The following is a 26,432-nucleotide window of genomic DNA, read 5'->3' as shown; positions in this document are numbered from 1 at the left end:
GCTAATTTTGTATTTTTAGTAGAGATGGGGTTTCTACTAAACCCCATCAGGCTGATCATGAACTCCTGACCAAAGGTGATCCACCCGCCTCAGTATCCCAAAGTGCTGGGATTACAGGCGTGAGCCGCTGCACCCAGCCCCACATTGTGTAACCTTTTGAGTCTGAATTTTTCACCTGGCATCATGTTTTTGAGATTCAGGCACACTGTTGTGCATGTTAGGATGTGGTACATCCTTTTTCTTGATGAAGTAGTTTGCCATTGTATGGAAGTATCACAGATGGTTTATCAAAGAACATTTGAGTTGTTCCCGGGTTTTGGCAATTATGAATAATGCTGCTGTAAACACTTACCTACAGGTTTTTGTGTGAGCATAGTTTTCATCTATTCTGGGTAAATACCTAGGAGTGGGATTGCTGATTCATGTAACTGTATGTTTAACTTTATAAGAAATGGCCAAGCTTTTCCAGAGCAACTCTACGGTTTTACATTCTTACAAACAGTGTATGTGAGTTCTGGTTGCCCTGCATCCTCACTAATACTTAGTATCGTTAGTTTTGTTTGTTTTTAAAACTTTAGCCATTCCACCAAGTTCTTTGAGTAAAGCAATGTAATCACCTCAAAGTAAAATAGTGCCTTTTTAATGCTAACCCATGCTCACATGAATTAGGAAAGCCTGGAGGTGGTGTTGATCCCAGAGCCTAGGTATAATACGGAATTTATATTTGACTCTAATATCTTTATTCTCCTTCATTCTTTTTTCCCCACAGTATTTCTTTTTTTTTTTAATTTTAACACACCATTGCTTGCTTGAAGAGCCATAGTATCTCTTATTTCCTGTGGAGTATGCATTCTGAAGTTGATTATAGACGGAAGTGCCATTATATAGCACATTCCCTGCCAATTCAAGTTCTCTCTTCCTCCTTAATGGTCTCTGTTCTAATCCCTTGAGATATGGCTTTCTAGAACTTGGAAATAACTTGTTTTGTTGTTAGAAAGCTAGACATATTGTTCATATACTTTGTTTATTATCCTGATTAATTCCTTATTGGAACATCTTATATTGTCAAACTGAATACTTACCAGTTCTCAGATACAGTGCTTTGTAAAGCCTTGATAGTCTGTCATTGGACGTTTCATCAGTTGCTCATGGTCTAAGGTTCTGTAAGCTAAATGTGAATGGTATTTAGGCTTATACTTTTTTATAAAATTCAGTTTTAGGGTTTGTCTCGTTCTCTAGCGGTGATGTTGTCTACCTCTTTACTATCTTAGCTCTTGTAAAACTCTGAGTTACGGTTGTTGACACATTTAAATGGCATTTGGATTTTCTCTTCAGTAATTATTATTCTCTTTAGTATCTTTTTAATTTGAGAAATAGCCTGTTGAAAAAGATCTGTAAGATTTTTTTATTAGGTACCACTTTGAAATTTTTTTTAAATATATTTTTTGAGACAGAGTCTCGCTGTGTTGCCCAGGCTGGAGTGCAGTGGCACGAACTTGGCTCACGGTAACCTCTGCCTCCCAGGTTCAAATGATTCTTGTGCCTCAGCCTCCCGAGTAGCCGGGACTACAGGTGCCCACCACCATGCCCAGCTAATTTTTGGATTTTTAGTAGAGAGGGGGTTTTGCCGTGTTGGCCAGGCTTGTCTTGAACTCCTGAGCTCAAGCGATCTGCCCAACTCAGCCTCCTAAAGTGCTGGAATTACAGGTGGGAGCCACCACTCCCGGCTCCACTTTGAATTTTGATTTGAAGAGTAATATATAGTATTTGACACTGAGAAAAACTGCATTCAACTGTTCTTCATCCTTGATGCTCCTATAGAAATAGTTGTGAAAAAAAGAATCATGAGAAAGTGCCAAGGAGGATTGACACACCTGACCAGATGGCACAGAGGAGCACGGGGTATAAAACAATGCAGGGAGGAGGCTGGGAGCAGTGCACTTGGCATATGTGAGCTGCACTTCATAGGCACTGTTAGTAAATGATATATCTTTAAGTTTAGAGTATTGAGATTTGGGGTATCTTAAAATTTCTAATTCTGTGACTTTTAAAATTAAATGATATGTAAGCTTCCTTTTTGGAGTTGGCTTTCTAGTAAAGAGAACTATCCTTCACTATGGCATAACCTCTGAGTATAAAACTCATTTCCCCAACACTGTTGAATGTAGAAAAGTTCTCTAGGATCAGTTTAAATGTCAAGGTGAAGTTCTAGAAAGGAGCCCTTCCTTAGCACCTCCACCCCTCATCATGAAGCCTACTTGGTGGCAATAACATGCATAATAATTGGCTGTAAGATGTGTTCCTGTAGCAAAACTTTTGGCTGCTTCTCAAGATTCGAATCTGGGCTTCTGGTTCTCAGAAGCTCCTGACCCAAGCCTTTGGGGTGGCAGGCGCACCAGACAGGACCTGGTTGCTTACTTCTTGCATTCCAGCTGGACTGGTTTCTATTCATGGTAGATGCTCCAAATTAGTTCAGTGACAACTTCACCACAGGCGTGGTGGGTTCATTTAAATATGGGTCACTCCTTGACCCCAAGGTTATGTTGTTGAAATGATTATTGCGCCCATGTGCTGGAGTATCATTGATTCACATCATTGGCTCTCAATCTTGGCAGTGATTAAAAATCACCTGGGGACCATTTAAATATCAGGATGCCCAGGTGGCATCCAAGGTAATTATCTGAGAATCTTGCAGGATGGGAGTCAGGTGGCAGTGTTTTTAAAATTCCCCAGATGGTCTGGTGTGCAATCAGTGCTGAGAACTAATGATTCAGAACCATTTCCTATTGTATTCCCTTCCATTTGACTATTGTGGTGTGTGGTGTCAAGTGTGTGCACCTTGCTTATGGAAACCACATGGAAAATCGTAATAGCAATTGCCCTAAGTCTAGTGAGTTTACTCAGGTTGTCTCTTATTTTGCCCCAGGACTTTTTTGAAGGAAATATAGATGTGAATACAGTTATGAGTACAATTGAATAGCTAAGTATGCACACATATACTCAGTGTCCACATGTACGCACATTTCTGTATGAATATGTGCAGTGAGACAAAATACCATTCAGCTTTTGTTTTGACTTTGCCTAGCTCCTACACTGCCTTCCTCTCCCTCCTGCCCCTTAAAACCAGGAAAGGTTAAATTGGGGTAGATATTAAAGTATTTTGTAGAAAATTACATACTTTTCCCAGAGATCTTTCTAGTGACCCCTGACCTCTGATCACCAGGTCCCTGGCTCTGGAGACTGGACCTTGTTTCTTCTGTCTATAAATAGTTGACCCAAGTACGACCTTTTCCCTTCCGTGTGACCAGATGCTAATACCCTTCAGGCTAATCTTTCTTTCCTTCACCTCTCTTGTTTCTCCTCACCGCATGCTGCTGTGCCCAAGGCCCAGCTGGTAACCTCTGCGGTTTTTAATGTGCATTTTTTTCTCAGCAGGATTATTCAACTTGTGCTTTGATTATCACCTCAAATTGTCATCTCTGGCTCTACACACTGAAATGTCTACAGGCACTTCTGGTTTTGTTTTTGAGACAGGGTCTCGCTCTGTCGCCCAAGCTGGGATGCAGTGGCACAATCCTGACTTACTACAGCCTTGACCTCTTGGTCTCAAGCTATTCTCCTACCTCAGCCTACCGAGTACCTGAGACTACGGGTGCATGCCATCAGCCTGGCTAATTTTGTTTATTTTTTGTAGAGATGAGATTTCTCTATGTTGCCCAGGCGGGTTTCAAACTCCTGGACACAAGCAATCCTCCTGCCTCAGCCTCTGAAAGTGCTGGAATTATAGGCATGAGCCACCACACCCAGCTTACAGGCACTTCTGAGTTGCATTCGTGCCTGCTCCTGAGGTTTTGTGGTGCCATCTTTTGTGATTTGAAGCTTTTTCTGGGAGGGCTTACCTTTGGCAGCATGATTTCCTATCCTTTTCTCCTCTTTGCAGCTAGCATATGTCTAACTATGAAGTCCAAGGCAAAAATGAAGAGGTCAGTAGTGGATATTGGATGGGACTGATTCCTAAATAAGAGTATCTTTGATTTCTCTTTAAGATTATATGGAAACTGAGCATGTGTGAGGCTGTGAGGTCTGAAGCTCAAAACTAACACTAATTGTTTAGGGGTAATTCTAACCTACTATTTTGTGCAAGGTCTCTGGAGTCTGGCTGCCTGGGTTCCAATCTCAGCTCCACCACTTGGTACCTGTGGGATCTTGGGCATGTCATGTAAGCATTCTCTTCCTCAGTGTCTTCCTTTTTAAAATAGGGTATTGGTAATATCGTCACAGGGATTAAATTAGTTGATACTAAAGTTCTTAGAACAGTGCTTGACACAGCATAGGCACCAAGTGTTTGTTATGGTTCTTGTCATGATTACTGAAGATTAGTATTGCATTACTGTGAAACGATGGGCACACCCTGGCATGCTAAGTTTCTTCCTTAAGCCGTTTTTTATTTATAATAGTAAGCTCTCCATAGTGAAGGCATCAGAATGTAATGATGATTCAGGCCTCATTGTAGCTGTGTGATCACACTGTCATAGGCTGGCACTGGGATCAAAGGCATCATTAAAGCACTTGGGATGATGGTTTTTACCTGTCAAATGTTCCAGGAGGTTGCTGTACACTGGCCTGTGAGACCCTTAGATTGTGTTATGTGATCACGCTAAACACCCATAAAAGCCCTTCTTGGCTTTTTTTTTTTTTTTTTTTTTTGAGACAAAATCTTGCTCTGGTGCTCTGTCACCCAAACTAGAGTTAAGTGGCACCATCATGGCTCACTGCAGCTTTGACATCTGGGCTCCAACGATCCTCCCATCTCAGCCCCCTGAGGTAGCTGGGACTACAGGTACACGCCACTATTCCTAGCACCAGCTAATTTTTTTTTTTGTCTCTTTTTGTAGAGACAGGGTGTCACCATGTTGCTCAGGCTGGTTTCGAACTCAAGTGATCCTCCTGCCTCGGCCTCCCAAAGTGCTGGGATTACAGGCGTGAGCCACCGCACCTGGCCCATAGTTTTAAATTTTAAGTCCTTTGCTAAAATATTGCCACATAGGTTATGTTGCTTTAAGCCATAGAGAGATGGACCTCCTAACACCCGTTGTGACTTTAAACAAGGCACTATCACCACATTGAATATGCTTCTCTACCAGGAAAATAGAGGAAACATACAACTTGCCTTCCACGAGATGTTCATGAGAAGCAGGAGGCAGTTTGGGTTTCTTCAAGCAAAGTACATACATGAAATAGAAAATATCAGTAAGTTATTAAAGTCACAAATTTTAGAAGAAACTTTCTTAAGTTGTAGAGGACCATTTACAAGGTGTATCCTGGGTGTGGTGTGTGGGCATGTGGGTGAGGCACATTTCTCACTAAGAAAATGATATCTTGTTCAACTTGGAATTTAGAATTTTATATCTTTTAAAAAATTTCAGCCAGGCATGGTGGCTCACGCCTGTAATCCCAGCACTTTGGGAGGCCGAGGCCGGCTGATCACCCGAGGTCGGGAGTTCGAGACCAGCCTCACCAATGTGGAGAAACCTCTGTTTCTACTAAAACTACAAAATTAGCTGGGCTTGGTGGCACATGCCTGTAATCCCAGCTACTCGGGATGCTGAGGCAGGAGAATCGCTTGAAAAGAGGAAGGTGCGGTGAGCCGAGATTGTGCCATTGCACTCCAGCCTGGGCAACAAAAGCGAAACTCCATCTCAAAAAAAAAAAAAAAATTCATAACTTCGTAAATCTGAAAATATGTCATTTCCTCAGATGGGTCCTGGGTTTAGATTCTCCCAGCAATGCTCCCAAATTGTCTTTTTGTATACAGTAGCCACTGTGGAAATTGATTAAACAAGTGTTCCTGATGCCACCTTTGAAATATTAAAATGTGTTATTCAGTAAAAATAGAACTGAATTATTATTGAAAATAAGTTTTGTATGGATTTACTTAACACTAGGAATAAACCCATCCCAATATCCTGGTGAAGATGCCCTCCCTGTGTATATAAAAAGATACATCCATATGCTTTGTGCAGTGACTGTATAAGGCCCAGATAGAGAAAAAATACAAGAGATGTCTCAACAGTTGAAAGTATTGAAATAAATTGAGAAGAGGGAAGCTATTTTTAGTCTAGAAGACCTATGAGACTCGAACAACTTTGGATAGAAAAACCCCATAATCTTATAATCCAGTGAGGCCTCACAGGGAAGAGCCCTAGGTTGGCATTTCAGATTCAATCCTCGGTATCCCAGCTGTGTCTAAAATGGACAGATTTGAGAATGTCAGTTCTTCAACTTATTTACAAACTGATCAGGTCCAATATTTATCTGCTGCTTGCTGAGAACAGCATCAAAGTTTAAAAAAAAAAAAAAGAAAGAGAAAGTTTCCAACCATCAAGCAAGTGTGCAACACAAATCTAAACCATATATGTGATGAGACCCACATGTCATTGTGAGAGTGTTGCAGGACTCATTAATGACACCCACAGTAGCAAGTAAGTCTTCAAGAAACCTTTGGAAGAGAGAAGGCCTGTATATGAAATGCCAGAAGGAAGGGGCAAAAGGTTCAGAACTAGGACTCTGGGTATGGAGTTCAGACACCTGTGAATTGGGCATTCTGAACCACTTGTACAATGTGCAAAGCTGATTTTTTCTTACCATAGCACAGGGTTGCTTTCTATTACAGATGTACCTATCTGGAAACATGTTCATTCAACAGTTTGCAGTCCTGCAGTTATTTTCAAAACAGTTTTTGCTTCCCTCTTTTTGTAGTAAACACGGTCTTTTTCCAGTGTGCTAGATAAAGTCTGGCTCTGGGCAGTAAAGGGACATGGCTGCTGCTTATTTCAGGAACTTAGGGGCAAGTGTCTTCATGCCTGTGGAAACAGGAGCCAGCTAGTACTATTTCCAGCAAGAAATTTAAGAGAAAGGAGAGATTTTTATTATGATTTTGATTTCTTTACTACAACATTGCATGTGTCTGGAGTATAGCCATTACACTTTATGAAAAAGGCAAAATGGTCATTTGGGGTGTTTTAGGAAGTTTGCCAAAAGGCTCCTTTGTCATTATAATCCTTCCTAAGCTGCCATCCACGGGTTTAGGTCATGGATATGAAAAGTGAAAGGGTTTAGAGATGAAGTAGTGTCCCCTGAGTGCTTACCAACCTGTTAATCTTTTTGAGATGTTAATTTTTTCATATAGAGCCCCCTAAAATCTTGATGGCTCTAGATCAGTCAAGCCTAAGAGAAGACGTATTTATGGAAAAAAACAAAAAACAAAAAAACCTTGCTGGATTGCTAGTAATATCTACTTCTTGGAAATTAATACTTCATATTTTTTAAAAAAATTATTGATGCATTAGGAATATTTTTTGCTTAGCAGTTACAAATTTTAAGAGGCACATATACACCACGGAATACTATGCAGCCATAAAAAAGGATGAGTTCATGTCCTTTGTAGGGACATGGATGAAGCTGGAAACCATCATTCTCAACAAACTATCGCCAGGACAAACAACCAAACACCGCATGTTCTCACTCACAGGTGGGAACTGAACAGTGAGAACACTTGGACACGGGAAGGGGAACATCACACACTGGGGCCTGTCGTGGGGTGGGGGGAGCGGGGAGGGATAGCATTAGGAGATATACCTAATGTAAATGATGAGTTAATGGGTGCAGCACACCAACATGGCACAGGTATACATATGTAACAAACCTGCACATTGTGCACATGTACACTAGAACTTAAAGTATAATTTAAAAAAAAAAGAAAAAAAAAGATGACAAATACTAAAAAAAAAAGAAAAAAAAAGCTTCTAAGCTTGGCACTCAATCCTAAATATCTTATATCTTTATAATTTAGCTTAAAGGCTTTTAGTGTTCTGGTTGGTTACTGACAATTCTCAGTGTGGCTTTCACTGAAGGAAAATGGACCAAGCCTCAAACTTACCCACCACAATTATATAATTTGGCATTTCTGTGAGGCACTTCCTTCCTCTAGGTTGGTTTCAGAACTATGCTGGAGAATTGTATGTAATTTTTTTTTCTTTTGTCAGAATTGGTGTGTTAGGCCTTTTTTTGTGTCACTTAAACACCTGAGGCTAGGCAATTTATAAAGAAAAAAGGTTTAATTGGCTCAGGGATCTGCAGGCTGTACAAGCGTGGCACTGACATCTGCTCGGCTTCTGCTGAGGGTCCCAGGAAGCCTACAATCATTGTGGAAGGTGAAGCGGGAGCAGGCACATTCACATGGCAAGAGAGTGGTGTGAGGGGAGGTCCCAGACTTTTAAACAACCAGACCTTATGTAAACTAACTGAGGGAGAACTTACTTATCACCACGGGGAAGGAGCTAAACTATTCATGGAGGTTGCACCGCCATGATCCAGTCACCTCCCACCAGGCCCCACCTCCAACATTGGGGGTTACATTTCAACATGAGATTTGGAGGAGACAAGCATCCAAACTGTATCAATTGGTTTCAGTTAATAAATAAACCAAAAAATAAAGTTTAATGCCTCAAACCTTCATACGCTTTTCTCATGAAAAGCGTTTTATCCAACCCTCTCTCCATCCCCATGTACGGATCTATGTACTTTAGTTTCTACTGATTGAGAAAGTGGGGTTACTTCATTATAATAGAGAAGGATTTTTTGTAATCTATATATCTGTACTTTTGAATCATTTAATGTTCAGATGAACAGGCTGCTTAGTTCTCATTAAAAGGGTTCATTTGATAATGCTTTTAAGCTCACCAGTACTTGATTCTCAAAGGGTGATCATTAGTGAAAATAAAGAGGGATTTAATAAGTCTAAGATATCCTGACCCCAACTGTAGGAACATTATATTAATAGAGCATTACAGTATTGGAAAATTATCTGAGTAAATAGAATCCATCCTATTCAATGAAGATTATGATCATTGATACATAAGCCTTTGACTTTTGAATGGCATGCTTTCGTTCGCAGCATGTTGACTTGAATGTGGGAATGGAGTATCTTAATCTCTCTGAGGTCACTGACTGATAGGTTAAGTGTCAGCTGGGCTCAGCCCAAACATTAGATGTTGCTGGGAAGGTATTTTGTAACTATGATTAACATTTACAATCAGTTGACTTTAAGTAAAGGGGATTATCCTGGCTATGGGTGGGCCAAATCCAATCAGGTGAAGGCCTGGGAAAGAAGAAGAAGGAGGAAGTCTGCCTTAAGACTGTGACATGGAAATCCTGCTTGAGTTTCGAGCCTGCCAGCCTGCTGCACAGATTTCACACTTGTTTGTCCCCACAGTGGCAGCAGCCATTATTCCTTAAAATAAGTCTTTATATACAATATATTTCTCTCCAGAGAAACAACCAAAAATACTATTGGTTCTATTTCGTGGAAGAATCCTCACTGATACACTCACCCTCAAGAAGAAAATTAACAGTTTTTACCCAGAATCATACAAATCGCTTTATTTAAGAGATAAAATTTAATAATTAATCTTTCCTGATTTTTGAAGGTAAAAACAGGATATTACGCTTTCAGTAAAAAAATGGATGTCTTTTAATTTCAGGGGGGTTTAGGAGAAAGAAATGGAAAGAGTGGCAAAGTAGCAAAGGATGGTGATACGGTTTAGATATGGTTTCATGTTGAAATATGACATCCAATGTTAGAGGCAGACCTAGTGGGATATGTCTGGGCCATGGGAGCCGATCTTATGAATGGCTTGGTACTCCTCTTATGGTAATGAGTGAGTTCTCATTCTGTTCGTTCATGTGAGAGCTGGTTGTTTAAAAGAGCCCGATATCTCTCTTGCTCCATTGCCATGTGACACACCTGTTTCCCTTTCTCCTTCTGTAAACGTCCTGAGCCCTCAACAGAAGCAAATACCAGCACTGTGCTCCTTGTACAGTCTGCAGAACTCTAAGCCAAAACAAAACTTTGTAAATTATCCAGTCTCAGGTATTTATAGCAACACAAAACGGACTAACACAGATGGGATTGAGGAAAAGTCTTAAAACATTCTGAAATGAATGTTCTTCACCTGTCCGATGCTTTGCTGTCCTAAAGACTTAATGCTGTCACTATCCTTAAAATGCCCAAAAAGTCATACACTGAATTGGTTTGCTGTTCTTTAGTATCGCTCTTCATTTAGATTTCATCTCTCAAGTCACATAGCTATAGGGATCCACCTATAACAAATTGGCTCATTGAGGGGAAAACTCTCTTATTCATCTTTATCAGTAGGTTTTTTGTTGTTGTTTTAGATGGCGTTTCACTCTTGTTGCCCAGGCTGGAGTGCAATGGCCCAATCTCGGCTGACTGCAACCTCTGCCTCCTGGGTTCAAGCGATTCTCCTGCCTCAGCCTCCCGAGTAGCTGAGATTACAGGCATGCGCCACCATGCCCGGCTAATTTTGTATTTTTAGTAGAGATGGGGTTTCTCCATGTTGGTCAGGCTGGTCCCGAACTCCCGACCTCAGGTGATCCACCCGCCTTGGCCTCCCAAAGTGCTGGGATTACAGGCATGTATATCAGTAGGTTTTCATTACATTGTGGGTGAGAGAATGTGGGAAGTCTGGAAGCCGCAGGTGCGGAGATCAGAGTAGTGTGGCCCTCTTCTAACCCAAACACCTGGAGAAGGTTCAGTTGTTTCTGTGATTTAGCATTTAAGGCTAAAACCTCGGGACCATCAGTTGAATAAGTAAAATAATGAAACGCAGAGTTGCTTACAAAATGAAGCCATGCGAGTAAGTATGTGCACAGGTACAGCAAAGGAGAGGGCTTTATCTCAGCCTTGCTTTTTCCCTCTGCCTGAGTGTTCTCTCTTGGTTATATAACTCGACTTTCCATTTGCATCAAGTCATGGAATCTCAGGATCAGAAGAAGCTCTAGAGATTAAAAAAAAAAAAAATTCAACCTGTAAACAGTGCATTAATCCAACATCATCATTCCAAATCAGTGTTTGTGCACAGCTATCTTCAATGTCAAGAAACATAACTTTTTACATTCTGATAACTTAACAGTCCCTGGTCCCAGTTTTCTCTTCCAGAACTAAATTTACACTTCCACTAAAAGTGTAAATTCTTCCATATGTTAACCTTTAATTCTGTTATTTTATTCCTCTGGAGTCTTGTCTTATTTTCTTCTATGTTATGTCTCCTATGTTATGGCCTAGAATATTTATGGTAAGTCCTAGGTCACTCTCTTCTGAAAGTGTTCTCATTTATCATCCTATTTCAAATATCTTGCGAGTACCATGTAGTATGAGGACCAGTAAACAGAGAACGCTTGTCCTCCTATTAGGCACGCTGGTGTCTGCCGATTCCACTGTGACACTTAGGGTTTTTACTTCCTCAGTGCGCTGATGATGTTTAGTGAGCTTGTTGTCCAAGTGCTCGCTTTGTTTCTGGGGCAGCTTGGGTAGGTCTTCATTTTGTACCTGTCCAGTTGAACTTTTTTTACATATAAAAAGATATGTTCCTGTTTATTCTTACTGAATGGATAAGAATATAGCCTATTCAGTGGGAATAAACTGAATAGGCTGTATCCTGTCTAAGTATAGCTCATTATTTCATTCTTTGAGATCATTTTGGACCTGAGTCTATCCATCTCTTAGCTTTCTTTTTTCTATGGATATAGAGCACTTGTTCTCATATTAATCTTTAATAAAAACATAACTACCTTTCTTTGCATTGCCCACTTCTCCATCTTTCATCTGGACTATTGCAGGAGCTTGGTATTCACGTTCAAGCCTATGGATAAGTTTTTCACACTGCTAGAGGGGTGTCTGTTAAAAAAACACAAACATGATTGATTCTCATATTCCTGTTTTTACGTCTATCCCTATGACCACCATTTGATCCCTTTTCTTTACTTGGACGAAGTAGTTACATAGCTAGTCTCTGTCCCGTCTCTCTCTTTCTCACTTCAAGTTCATCCTGGCCTGTCTGGATCACACATTTAGCTATCAATACCCTTCAGTGGCTCCCCACTGCCTCTGTTTGGTGAAAACATTATGCCTTTGGCTCTGTATCCTCTCTGATGGCATGCCCCAAAGCACCCCATCTGTCATCTTTAACATGATTTTACTACTCCTAAAGCAAAGCAAGTCAAGGAACCATAGTTTCATTTTCTTTCTAATGGTGTGGCTCAACAATAAAACTAAATTAAACACTAAATTAAACTGCTCACAGACCCTCAGTGAATTAGGTAACTTACAGAAACACAGTCCGGGCATCTGTATGAATCTTCTGTTGAACCCAGCGATTGATTTCTTTCCCTCATTTGGAATCTATAAAATTGGATTTCTTAGCCTAATTATCGTGAGAAGAGAGGACAGTCTTTGCACATTTAACTTTTATCAAGTAATTCAGAAGTTCATGTAGTGCACATTAATAAAGTATTATCAATGAGAGTAATGAACAAGAGGGCTGAGAGGCATTCCATTATGTGCTACTGGGTTAAGGTTTAATGTGGCATTTCACACCTAACATTTAGGAAAGGGTTTTAAAGCTTAGTATCCACACCTTACATTTGTATAAATGAATCCCTAGCGTTTGAAATTTGTTTATGATAGAGCAGACATGGGAAAATGGACTCTGTAGGCACCATGAAGTGTTTTGCAGTGAAGATTTATAGAAATGTTGTAAAAGGCACCACAGGGACCTGGTACTTCTGGCTGATGGCATCACCGCTACTAGGGCAGTATTTACTGTTTTTCTTATATGCCTGTTAACAAAAAGTGGTCAAATAAAGAAGATCAAAGCAAATCTGCCTCTTCCTTTCAAAGGGATGATATTTCTTTGTGCAGTATTTCTTTATCCAGCCTCTTCTATGCTATGCATGATGCTGCAAGATGGCAGAATGTTGTGCCTTTATCGTCACAAAAGCCATCAGTAAGTGGCATAATTCTAGGAAACTCTGAGGCTGCCCTTTAACTTCAAGAATAGAGTGGCAAAGAACCAGCTGGGACCCTTTGTTCCTTAGTGGTTGTTTGATTCCATGTCAACCTGTGCTGGCTTTGTCATTTTCAAAATCATGCAAAGTTTTTAAGTTGCATAAAAATATTGTTAAAACTCCTGCTAGAAGTAAATTTCAGTTTATCTTGGGGAGATGCATTAAATACTTAAAAGATTGCTGAAGTCCGGTAGTTTTGAAGAATTAACCATCTCTTCGAATGTTGAAACGTGGAAAAGAATTTTGGCACTTCTGGACCCTGATGAAAAGTAAATAACTTATACATACGTGGAACTTGTAATTTACTGGTGACAGGCCATTCAATCCAGCAGTAATAATTTCTGTTTTCAGCTACAGCCATTGAATAGTACAAATTAGGCTCTTTTTTCTTTCAATAATGTTTTTGTAAAGCTCACTGGGCTTTTAGAAAGGGAAATTTTAGGTATGTTTCTCACTGGTTAAGCAGATTTCTTGGATTCATTCATGGAGTGTGCTGTTTTCCAACTTTATGGTCACACAAGTCTAGGAAGCATAAATGTGAACAGAAAGCTGACTCTATGTGTGCGTATGTGTATGCAGGTGACTACATGTTAGTCTTTTATATAGCATTGTGACAGCTAGGCCCAAGTCATGAGCTTACTTCCCCAAAGATCAGCAAGTTTGACTCTGTTTCATATTCATCCAACTCACAGGTTGGACATAGGCCAGAGATGCCAACCAGCCAGGGTAGGAGGACAAAGAGACATAAATTTATTGTGGACCAAGCGGGTGGGGCCTGCAGTTGCTCGGGGGCCTATTGGACTGTTTTAATCATAGTAGCTGAGTGGTAATGTTTTTACCCATAAATGTGAATACATTTTGAAATTATACTGCAGAATATTTTTACGCAATATAAAGCCAATCTAGTTGTAAAATCTACCATTTTGCACTAGGCAGTGCCTCATTTCTCTCAAATTTGTACAAAGCCTCTATTAATACAACATTTATCACTTTAACAATTTAAAGAAAGTAATTGCAAAACCTTACTGATTGTTGGAGGGCTGCATGCCCATTTCCCATGGGGACTGATTTAAGCCTCTGTATCTGCATGTGACATGCAAGGATAGTTGTGCCACATCTAATTGAAAATGCTCCTTAGTGCTGGAGAAGAGTTCAGGAGGCTGGGCGCGGTGGCTTATAACCTTTAATCCCAGCACTTTGAGAAGCCAAGGTGGGTGGATCACTTGAGGTCAGGAGTCAAAGACCAGCCTGGCCAACATAGTGAAACCCCATCTCTACTAAAAATGCAAAAAAAAAATTAGCTGGGTGTGGTGGCAGATGCCTGTAATCCCAGTTACTCAGGAGGCTGAGGCAGGAGAATCACTTGAACCCGCGAGGTGGAGGTTGCAGTGAGCCAAGACTGCGACTGCACTCCAGCCTGGCGACAGCGAGACTCCATCTCAAAGAGTTCAGGAATTCAGAGTAGTGTTTATTTTACTTTGGCGGATATTTAAATTTAAGGTCTCACCATATCCCTTTCCGTATTTGCCTTTGGTTTGGATCAAAATGTAAAAGGGAATTGCGAGAAGATGGTACCCACACCTCTACAGGGATCAAGCCACAGTATTCCTGGAATTCCCCAGGAGCTAACCCCTATATCCATTAAAGATTGGGTGTGAACATTTAAGAAACTAATCTCAAATGAATTTATGTCTTAAGTGAAAAATGTGTCCTTTATAAGGGAAGGAAAAAAATCCTTTATTGTTATTATTTGATCTTGTGCTGTTTGCTTTTCTGTGACAGTGACACAGCTAGTTGATGTTGGGGTCAGGATTTACACGACAGCAGGATGAGAGCATCTTGACTCAGTGGAGATAATGTGTTAGTTATTAGAGCAGCAGCTAGCTTTGTTTGGAAGCTGTAAGCTGTATTTGGGTGACAAACATTTCTAAATGAAATTAGTCATTTGCTTAATACAGATTTTCATTTTCTTTACCAAAAGGTAGTTTCAAGTATGCTTATTTTGTATGTGGGGTTTTTTTTGTTATTATTTTGCTTTTTTGTTTTGTTATGCTTTTGCTATTGTAAATACTGACCTGACTCTCTTGAAGTAGAGGAAAGAAGCTAATGTGGATTTGAAAATATTTTCATTTCACAAATAGTATGATATTGATGTATATTACACCTGTGTTTATTGATCATCTGATTAAAGAAAAATAATAGGAAATAACAAATCATGTCTCATTCAAGAATAAAAGTTTACAAATATAGAAAATTATGGAAGTATGTTACGTTTACAATTTGTATCCATTTTTTTATTTCTTAAACAATAAGATCTTATATGCGTCCTCCCTTTCCTTCCATCTCCACATAAATTGGAGATCGATCTAGGATTCTAAAACATCTGGGTCAAACATTTGTCATCGGGAGAAGCACTGGACTAGGAGGAAGATGGTCTAAATTTTAATTGTAGACTTGCTGCCAACTAACATTTGACCTAGGCAAGGAATTTCACTTCGTGAGATTCAGCTTCCTCGCATGTAAAACGATGCTGACTCACTTGCTTTCTCAGGCCCATTCAGCTCCAAAACTCCATTCTATTTTATTCCAAAGACCCACTGCACAGATTGACACAATTTAAAATAAACTCTAAAACTGAAATTTCCTGCGTTTCTTCATGCCAGAGATCTAAATACATGTGAACTTAATTAAATCAAGCAGCCTGTGGAGGGAAAGAGTTCTTAAGATTCATTTATTTTTTTCAGCATGTGTTTGCTCACAATTTAGTACATCCCCCAGCACCATGCTGGACAATAAGAGTAGATACAAAGAAGTACTTCCTGGTAGCATTGATAGTTGAACTGGAAATACCTTGAAAATAATTACAAAGCAAAAAATGGACTAGTTACAGCAAACTATTATAAAGTATAATAATAGTTGGTATTTATTAAGCACTTCAAGTTGCTAGCACTACACGCATTTAATCCTCACCCTAATACCATAGGTAAATGATAGTCATCACCCCAATTTTACAGAGAAAACGGAGGCACTGAGAGAGTTAAGTGAATTGTCCAAAGTTACTGTTCCACGCAAGAGATTTAGAGAGGATATTGTACTTGCCTTAGACTCCCTTGGGCCCTCTTTTGGGTAAGTAGGTTTAAGTACTGAGAAAAAGTAAGGGAGTAGTTGGGGAGTGGGAGGATTGCTTTTGACTTGCTAAGCAGACTTGATTTTTATTAAAACACAAAAGCAAAAAAAATGTTTTTTCTTAATTTGGCAGTTGGCATGTTTTAATGTCATTTATTGTAAATTTTTTTTGGAGACAGCACACATTTTAAGCAGTCTAGAAGTGGAGAGTCTTAAAGTGAGATAGCTTATTTCAGGAGAAAACAATAGTCACATGATTCTGTGCTTTGAAGAAAACGATCCAAAAAAGAGCTAAAATTGGGTCAAGTGTTGAGCATTGCTCAGCACCGCTGGTAGCAACTGCCCAGAGCGGTAGGGATTGAGGGTGGGGGGTGTGCTGGGTGTAATAGAGACAGGTTTTTCTCCTTTGGAGAATTCCCCAGTATAGGTTCTGTCCTTGAAACTTGAGTTGCAGAGGAGACACTCCACGTTGTGATCTCTGGTGGGAGCCAGCATAGTTCTTCCCTTGCCTGTCTTCACCAGAGGGTTTCAGGGACATGGCACTGGTGGCCCTCATGACTGGTGCTGCCAACCCTGTTCTTATACATGCTCTGGGGTGGTAAGAATGTCAGGAAAGTAAAGTGAGCTGCTCTGTGGGTACCAGCCATGCCTTCATTCATCCAGGGGCTTGCAAACATTGTTATGATAGACAACCTGGCCCAGAAAAGAAGAAAAAGCCTTTCTTCCTCAGGCTTCTGTCTCCATACTGAGGAGTCTACTGCTGCTTGTGCAAGCAAAACTCTTTCTCCTCCCATCCTGCTGCGCTGCCGCTGAGAGGAAGAGGGAGCTGCCCAGCGGCCTCACGCTGTAACCCTCTGCTGGTGAGTTCCCAGAACCCAGCATCCTGCAAGCTGCCGCTTCTCAGCTGGGGAGATGGAGCCGCTCTGGGCCCTTCTTGATTAGGATATGTTAGGGTTGTCAGGGCAACTGTTAACGGCAGCATATCATATTTTCCCCTCTCTGCTGTGGGCTGAATATTTTACTGTGTGGTAGCAGGAAGAAGATTGGAAAAAGGTGCTGCAGCAGGAAGAAGCTGGGATCTGATTGAACAGGTTGTGCAGTGGTGGGAGGCATCAGACCCTGCGTGTCTGTAGTAGGGCTTTTCTGGAAGGAGTGTGTGTGTGTGTGTGTGTGTGCGCGCGCGTGTACGTGCATGCATGAGCCGGAGCAATCACCAGCGCATGTGCCTGTCGGGGAGTCAGTGGGAGGGGGCTGGTAGGGGAGGTGGGGAAGCTGCTGCTAGGTGAGGGGAACTGCAGGGCCTCAGTTGCCAAGTGGCTGGTACTATCTGTCAGCTGTTTGCAAACTGTTTACCCATAGGGGATCTATTACAAGTGCTCAAATGAACAGGCAGCTTAGGAACTAGCAGCTTCCTGGGAGCTGCAATTACATAAGCATATATTTTTAATATAATCACAATTAAAAAAAAAAAAAACAAGTAGCAGCGGTATGCCTGGATCAGCTACAGCTCTCCGACATGAGAGACTGAAGAAGACCAATGCAAGGCCAATTCCTCTTGGTTTATTCACCATTAATGAGGAAGACGAACAGCAAAAGAATGGAAATTCCAGAAGACCAAAAGGTATGCATTAGCTCCACCCTTTGGTCGGAGCCAGATCCAGCCCTTGTCTCCCACACTGCCTATAGAACGTTTTATAAACTGTGCTGCTCGTGCATGCTCCAGGGAGTGCTTGTGACCTCCTAGCACGGTTTGCTGGTAGTGTTTATACCCTCTGTAGGGTTGTGTATGCATGAAATGGGAAACAGTTTTTGTAGATTCGGTGTATTTCAGATCAGTTGCCTTTTTTGACTTAAGCTACTTTCTTGGCCTAGAGATGTTTAATTTTTCCCATGCTCACTTCAGCAGTGACCAGTCACTCTGTCCTCATCAAGAGGAGGAAATACTGAGTTATCAAGGTTTAAACGAACATCTCCCCACCTTCCTTAGGTGCCTCAGATAATTTTTGCTTATTTTAATGAAGTGAGTTTCTGCTTTAAAGGATGAGTTAAAGTGACTCAAGAGTGCAACCTTTTCTAGGCAGAGGGTCAAAATGTCACTTCCCTTTCTATACTAAAATGTCAAGAGTAAAGAGGAGCACAGCAAACATTGAGGGCGAATGTGGAGGGTGAAGCTAGGGAGCAGGGAGGAGATCATGAGGTTGTATAACTGTTGATGATAACTGAATTCGTGTATGGCAGTTGAAATGCACAGGTTACAGAAAAGGGAAGTCTGACCCTTGTGTTGTTCTTTCACAGTATGAAAGGTAGCAGCAGCTTACCAGCTTCTTGAGAGCCTGTGTACTGCATCATTGTCAGCATTGTCTCACAGCTGCCCTCCCAGGGCTGTAATTATCAGCCAGAGACAGCAACATCAGACATTTTTGAAAAAGGAGCTTTAAGGCCTGTGTTTTACATTTTCCAGCATCCTAAGTCTTGCTTCCCCTTCCCCAAAATATATAAGCTGTTCTTAAACAGATGGGTTATGAGTTTTCTTGCTTTTATGTGCTGATTAATTTTTAGCTTGCTCTTAAATTATTCTGTCACTGAGGTATCAAATTTTCTTCTGTGATGCAGAGAGGTAGCATGACAAAGTAGAAAGCAAATATTTAAGCAATGATAAAGTGAAGAGTGTTAAATAGAATCCAGTGTCTGAGGACTCGTTTTCTTTTTCCTGTTTCTCGAATTAATCTTACTTTGCTTTTCTTAAATATAATTGAAACTGTCTACATTAAATCCAAAAGCATATTACTTCATTTTTATGAGACAGTACACAGGGAAGTTCTAATAAGTAGAATCTTACTACTGTAGTTGATTTTTATTTACTATCAGACCTGGCTCCTGTCTGAGAACCAAATGACCTCAGAAATCAAATGATGCTATGACTGGAGGGTGACTTAATGTGATTCTTTTATTTGCCTGTGAATTACATCATTGAACCAGAGTGTGTTGCTCTGGATGAAAACTCAGGACTTTAAATTTTTAGCAGCAAATCATTTTGCCTCTGAAAAGTTGGTAACTTTTAAAATTAATGTAGATTTGTTGAATTGTTCTCATGGGGTATTTTTGGAAACATTCTTGATTTGTGGTACTTTTCCTTGGATGTCTTGGACAGTAACTTAGGATAGCCATCCATTTTATTCTTAATAATTTTCTTTTCTTTTCTTTTTTTTGAGATGGAGTCTTGCTCTGTTGCCCAGGCTGGAGTGCAGTGGCACAATCTCAGCTCACTGCAACCTCTGCCTCCCAGGTTCAAGCAATTCTCCTGCCTCAGCCTCCTGAGTAGCTGGGATTACAGGCACCTGCCACCATGCCCAGCTACTTTTTTTTTGTATTTTTAGTAGAGACGGGGTTTCACCATTATTGGCCAGGCTGGTCTCAAACTCCTGACCTTGTGATCTGCCCACCTCAGCCTCCCAAAGTGCTGGGATTACAGACGTGAGTCACTGCGCCCTGCCCTCTTCTTAATAATTTTCTTGAATACCTCTGCCTGTCTCCTGTTGTTGTTTTTGTTTAGTTGTCTTTTAGTATTTTTTTAAAAAGGAAGAGAAAGGGGAGGAAAGAAGATGCTTCGAAAAACCTACTTATTTTTGGCAATTTTTGCAGCTTCTTGGATAAGAGAGACTTAATCAAGGAGTTTCTGACCCCCTACCATTTTTCTTTCTATCCCTGCCCATAGTGGTGGGAAGGGCAAGGGTAGGTATTGGAGGAATACTGGGAGAAAAAAATCCTGTGCTGATAAGGATGTCCAAACTTTCTGTGGATCACCAATTGTCTCTATGACACATTCAATAAAATAACCAGATAACCGTGGATATCTCTAATTATGCTCAATGAATAACACTATTGACTTTGACTGAATTTTTCATTGGGTCCATCTTAACAATAGGAATATTCACTTTGTAGTCCAGCTTTGTTCCATGGAAAATGATGGAAATGTTCTGTATATGCACTGTCCAATACAATAGCCACAGCTGCAGAGCTTGAAATATAGCTAGTGCAACTGAGAAACAAAATTTTAGTTAAATAGCCACATGTGACCACCTTATTGGACAACACAGTTCTGGTCTGTAGCATTGTTACGTTCTGAATTTGTGTCTTCTCTGGTTCGTTCGTCCTTACTGCTTCCTGACGTTGGATATGGTTGGGTCCTGAAATGAATGTGGTTATTAAGAGAACATCAAGGAGCAGACAGCCTCTGTACTGCATGAGAACACAGAAACCTGGATGTGTAGACAATTTCATTTTACCTTTTCCACTTAAATGTTGTTGCACTGTTCTGATTATTATTATTACCAGTCACTAGTTGCCTGTATCATTTGTTGCACCTTTTAATGGACTCTTAATTTTTTTTTCTCCTTTTTATTTTTATTTTTTCTTTAGTGACAGGGTCTTGCCCTGTTACTCAAGCTGGAGTCCAATGGCATGATCATAGCTCACTGCAGCCTCCAACTCCTGGGCTCAAGTGATCGTCCTGCCTCAACCTCCTTAATAGCTGGAATTACAGGCACATGCCACCACACCCAACTAATTTTTTAAAAAGCTTTTTGTAGGGATGGGATCTTGCTATGTTGCCCAGGTGATCTTGAACTCCTGTCTTCAAGTGATCCTCCCACCTTGGCCTCCCAAAGGGCTGGGATTACAGGCGTGAGCCACTGTGCTTGACCATCTCTTATTTTCTAAATTAAGTATTCCCAAAGCATCATAGCAAGATGACATACAGTTTATTTTTTGTGTGTGACTATTGCGATACACAATCAGAAACTTTTCTTTTCCTACCCCATGGCCTCATCTGCCAACCATACCCAAACCTGGTTTTCATGCTTAGTGTCTTTTTTCTACCAGTAATAAAGAAGTTTGCCATCTAAATTTGATGAGTTGAATGTTTCTGTTCAGGATTATCCTGGCTAATGATGAGTACCATCTTTTCAGGTACCATACTGTTGGGCAAACATCAAATAACTCAGTAAGAGAGAACATGGAGATTAACATCTGGCCTTCTATGGTGGCTTCATAGTTATCTGGTGGGGTGACAATAGTTTGTTTAGATGGCAGACTAGATAATTCTTGAAGGAGTGATTACTCTTCCATGTAATCGGTAGGAGTGTAATGTTTTACATACCTGACTGTTATTACCACAGTAATTAAATAATCACTGGGAGCGAGCTGGGCTTATGCTGATGCTCTTATACCTCGGAACCTCAAGCCTCCTTGTAATGCTGACTTCAGGACTGGCTTAGGAGAGACTGTTTAGGTGCTGCAGTAACTAAATGCCCTTGGATAGGTCTCAAGGCAAACCTGCCTTAGACGGTGAATTTTGCTGAGCACAGCGATTATTAAGTAATAAGGCATTTTCCTCCTAAACCAGCATTTGTTAAATGCTCACTCTGTGGCAGATTACTCTGCTGGGGTTTTGTGGAAGTAATGCAAAGATAATTGACATGGTTTCTGCTCACAGAAGTGGAGGAAGAAAAATGTGTACAAATAATGCAAGAGTATAAATTGAAGTCAGGAAAGGGAGAGGATGAGAGTGGCAGAAATGTTAAGTGTGTGCCAACTGTGAAGCCATTAGCTTCAAGATTTTAATCTGAAACAGGGCGTTTAAGGGATATAGACTCCTATCCCATCCCAAATGTCTGGCTGAGGTTGGAAGCTCACACAGACCTTAAAGGCGGGAGCACAGAATAATGGGCAAAGAGTCTTTTAAATTTCATTATAGAAGCAAGACATCCACACAATGTTTACCTGTGGATAGACACTTCTAGAGGCTTCATGACTATTACACAATACATTTTACAACTTCTGCTTTGTAATGGCCTCCTGACCCATTCTGTGAACTGCCTAAAGCAGTCATCTGATTGACTTTATACTCCTGTGTTGTTTTTATATAAAACCTGATTGATGTCCAGATCTAATACTAAATTTGCTCATGAGACTTGACTCTAAATGACTTTTACTTGATTTTATCAAAATTATCATCTCCCTCAAAAGACGAAAGACTCATAACTCTCTAGGTGGATCATGGTCTTCCTGCTTTCAGTCTTTCCTCTTTCCAACCCATCCTCCATAGCGTGCCACTATGACATCTTTCCAATGGAAATATCTGCCCATTAGAAATAAACTTCTCATGAAACAGAGGTCTTGACTAGGAGTCTTGGAGCCATATTTAGTCTGTAGCTAAGTTTATTTGTCCCCTGCAGGTGTTTATGAGTCAACATTTAGGAACTGATTTTTTCATAATCTAGATTTCAGCTTCCCTTGAAAAATTGGAAGACACAGCCACCCTTGTCCTCTTTCTTCAAAGCAGTCATCAGCTGGAGCTAAGTAGCAGCTGTCACCATATGCTATAGATGGGTCATGCGTGCTCCAGTGCCCCTCTTCTAGAATATGCATTACATGGCCTGCCTCAGTTATCTACATTACCGTAGTCATTGCTTTTGTGACCCCTGACCTAAGGAATAGTCCAAGCCCCTTAGCATGGCACCTAGACTACCTACCAGCTGGTCCCTTTTGCCTTCTCCATCCTCTTTCCTGCCACTCTTTGCACTTTGTGCTCCGGCAGCACCAAAGTGCTTGTTGCATTTGCCTGCTCCATCATGTTCTTGCATGCCTCTGTGTCCTACTCATGCTCATCTGTCCATTTTCCTCATCTTGCTTCCTCATTTGGATAACTCTGACTTACTCTGTAGAATCAGATCACATGGCATCTTCTCCAGACTTTCCTTGGGTGCCATCTGCAGGAAACCTCCTCTCTCGCTCCCAGCCTCCTCATTCCTGGCACAAAGGGCAGCCCCTCACTGTGCTCCTTCCGCACTGTAAATCCATTACTGACTTACATCAGTGTAATGAAATCATCCATGCACACACCCATGTCCTTCTTGACACTGTAAGCTTTGTAAGGGCCAGGACTCACTCCTCTTTATACCCTGTACTTTTCAGAGTAAATGGAACATTATGAAACAAAGGTAAACTTAACACTTAAAATAACTTTCACAGACTCTGAAGGTCTTCATAATATAGAAATTCTAAGAAATGTTGATAGCATTAGAATTGTCCTTTCAAGGTAACTACTTGGAAAGAGACAATTCTGTGTTTGATACATTAATCATATTGCTCTCTATGAAACTGCATTTGTCTATTAGTATACCAGAGATTATCTCTTTGTTGTTGTCTTCTTCTCCTCCTCCTGCTCCTCCCCCCTTTTTTTTTTTTTTTTTGAGGCAAACTCTTGCTCTGTTTTCCAGGCTGAAGTGCAGTGGTATGATCATGGCTCACTGCAACTTTGAACTCCTGGGCTCAAGTGATCCTCCTCAGCCTTCCAAGTAGCTTGCAACTAGAGGTGCATACCACCACACTTGGCTGTTTTTTTTCTTTTAATTTTGTAGAGGTGGGGTCTCACTTTGTTGCTTAGGCTGGTCTCCAACTCCTGGGCTCAAGTGATCCCCACACCTTGATCTCCCAAAGTGCTGGGATTGCAGGAGTGAGCCACTGCACCCAGCCCTGTTTTGTTGTTTTCTGTCATGCTATTCATTTTTCTTTGGTGGAAAAACAAAGGTATATAGTTACAAGGTGCTATTAATTGACCACTTTGTGAATATTAAGGTTAATAATGCTTTCTGTCCCTTTTGTTAGCTAATCATAGATTAAATTGTAAAGAAATACAACTTCTCCTTGAGATCGGGACACAGTGGTTCTGAGAAACTGTACTCCCCCGCCCCCACTTTGTTAAAATGTGTATTTCTGGAGCCTGCAGTGACTTCTCTTCTTTTGGCTTTTCCACTGTAAAGGTAGAATTTCCTCCAGTTAAGGTTTCCAAACGAAATATAATCTAGTGTTTACCATTTATATTCCTATCAGATAAGTGATGATCTAGCAACTGTAATGTCCTTTTCTAAGTCATGAATCTTTTTGTTTTCCAAGAGAAGTCTTAGAATAAGAAATATGAATGCCTCTATAGAATCATTCTCATATATCTCCTTGTTTCTTTTTCTCTTTTGTTCTGTAAGGCTTGCACCATTGTCTTTTCCCAGTGTCCTTATGTGTGGCATTTTAGGGCTAGGCAAAAGGTTTTAGCCGTAAAATTTAACAGCTAGGGAGGCAAAAATGTATTTTAGAACAGTGGTATCAAAGATCCTTATTTTGAGGAGGAAATCTTGAGGTCAAATTCATTGGCATAAACTTTTATTTGCTGAAGAGATCTTAAATGTAATATTTTATTCAAAATATTTATATAAAAATAATAGGGGATGGAGCAAGGATCACATCATCTAATGTATGTCTTGTACTCATTGGATTCTCTGTAACTATTTGAATAAATGAATACAGCTGTTCCCCAGGCATTATGTGTTATATAAGTAGAAATTACCACATGCGTTACTGTGTACAAGAGGAACATGATTTAACCTGTGTATAACCAAAGTTTTTGTATAGTGAGGTACAATATAAAGTGTAATTTGCTTGCTATATAAAACTAAAAGGCTGAAAAATTGTGTGCCTGTTTCCAGAGCTATAATTGATGGAGCTAAAAGAGCTGACTCCTCCAATCATAGGAACCAAACACAATTAAGTGTTTACTTAGAGCCTCCCAGCTGATAACTCTTAGATATTATTTATTAAAAGATTATAGTCTGGGTTTGAATTGAATGTCCATTTCCATTAACATCTGTGTGTCTCCAAGAGCAACTTTAATTCGTTGTTACAGAAATTCTCCAGGTGGCTCCAGGCACCTTGACTATGTTTTTCATTTAGCAGAAACTTAAGAGCAATGAAGGTGATTTTACTGAGAGACTCCATCTTAATTCTCAGATCATCTAGACATTTAGGAAAAGCCCACTTTATGTTGCACCTTCCATATGTTATATTAAGTTTATGTTCTAGATTTGCCAATTTGAGAAGATAAGTCATACCCCATTATACCCCAGACCCAGATGCCGAGGCCCAAAGTGTGTCACAGATGGACATAAGGCATTGTTTGAATGTTTACCAGAGCATTATTTGACATTTATGCCAACTGTAAAATGCAGGTCCTGTTTTTCAGGCTATCTGCCCAGCAATGGTTTGTTAGTAAGGAAATTCTCATATAATCTTTCTAGATTCCAAAGAATTTACAATCCCAGGTCCAGTGTGGAGTGGGAATGAAGTTCAGGAGTATAGACCCAGAAAAATTATCCTAACAGTTTTGATCTTGAATATATATGGTTTGGGGGACTAGATTCATTCTAAATTAAAGTTGCAGGCCTAATAAAGTAGTAAAAAGATATTAAAATACGAAGATTCAGCAGAACCTGTCATTCTAAAACCATTATTGGAACAACAGTATGGAGGCTCGAGCCACCTCCATACTCCTAATAGGATTGCTTTCAAGGTCACCAGCTGAGTGCATGACCAAGAGGTGTCTTGGAGTTGGGCAGGAGGGAAGAGAGTTGGAATCTCTATTAGCCCCTTTTAAAAACTTCCCAAATAATGTAGCTTAAGATCTAAGTAAAAATGCAACTTTAAGAGAAGTTACCCCCTTACAAACCAGTTGTCGCCTCTGAGCCCCGATTTAGAACTATAGAAATTCAGAACCAGCCCTTATCAGGGATATCAGTTTACATAGTGGGAAAACAGGATACTAGGAAAGTTTCACCACGTTCACTAGTAGTCAGTGGTACAGGTCAGAGTTTGCCACAGTTATTAGAAATCCAGGCTATATTTGGTGTGAGAAACTGTGAAAAAAGTGCTTAGAAAAAAGTGATAGAAAAAGTGCTACATATGGAAATATGCACATTACTGTTATTAATATTTAAACTTTCTAAGCCTCAGATTCCCATCTGTGAAATGAAATGAATAAAATCATGCTCACAGGTGCTGGCGGGTATTAGAGAGAATACACAAGCACTTAGCTTATTCTCTGGAAAATAATTGGAGCTGATTATGTGACAATTATAATATTGGTAATTTATAACCAAATGTCTCACATTTTCTGATAACTTCTACTGACATGTTCTGTTGGGAGAATGGCCTGGTGGAAAGACCATCATGCTTGTCTGTGCCAAACCTTAGCCAGTCTCTTTTTATAGAGATATTTTCCCTAATCTCTTTCCTTAACTTGTGAGTAAAAATTTCTAGGAAGGCTGCCTTCTTTCTTGTGTTGTTTTAGTCACTTTCCTACCATAGGCATATGTGACTGGATCTTTGTTCTGTGTTTGTTCATGTGAATCAGAAGTCCTAGCTGCCAGGTAGATTGCTCATGCAGTACCCTGTAATTTTGTTGTGTTAGATGAAGGAAATAAATTGCCATAATGTCAGATCACCTCACTTGTTATTTTAAATATGATTAAGGGAGTGTACCTGTTATTCCT

The 26,432-nt window shown here is 40.3% G+C and overlaps 1 protein-coding gene across 35 annotated transcripts in view, besides 1 other annotated feature; it reads left to right on the top strand.

Annotated features, from left to right (window-relative positions):
* MAP7 (microtubule associated protein 7) overlaps nucleotides 1-26,432 on the top strand; it is a 207,689-nt gene that overhangs the window by 6,917 nt on the left and 174,340 nt on the right. For 8 of the 35 annotated variants that reach the window (NM_001388343.1, NM_001388345.1, NM_001198611.3 and 5 more), the window contains exon 1: nucleotides 16,924-17,674. The exons of 9 other annotated variants lie outside the window; for them this stretch is intronic. In NM_001388343.1, the coding sequence (NP_001375272.1) occupies nucleotides 17,542-17,674 (133 nt within the window). In that variant the 5' untranslated portion in view covers nucleotides 16,924-17,541. 18 more of the 35 variants (NM_001388346.1, NM_001388344.1, NM_001388340.1 and 15 more) reach the window with 7 other exon arrangements.
* Nucleotides 16,930-17,740: an enhancer, noted in NCBI's record as "H3K27ac-H3K4me1 hESC enhancer chr6:136846904-136847714 (GRCh37/hg19 assembly coordinates)". NCBI's record gives its function as "activates a minimal SCP1, AML or CMV promoter by ChIP-STARR-seq in naive H9 embryonic stem cells {active_cell/tissue: H9 hESC(naive)}" and the evidence as "EXISTENCE:reporter gene assay evidence [ECO:0000049][PMID:30033119]".

Source organism: Homo sapiens, chromosome 6 (assembly GCF_000001405.40).
Source record: "Homo sapiens chromosome 6, GRCh38.p14 Primary Assembly".
NCBI lineage: Eukaryota > Metazoa > Chordata > Mammalia > Primates > Hominidae > Homo > Homo sapiens.
This window is presented reverse-complemented; position numbering and strand designations above follow the sequence as displayed.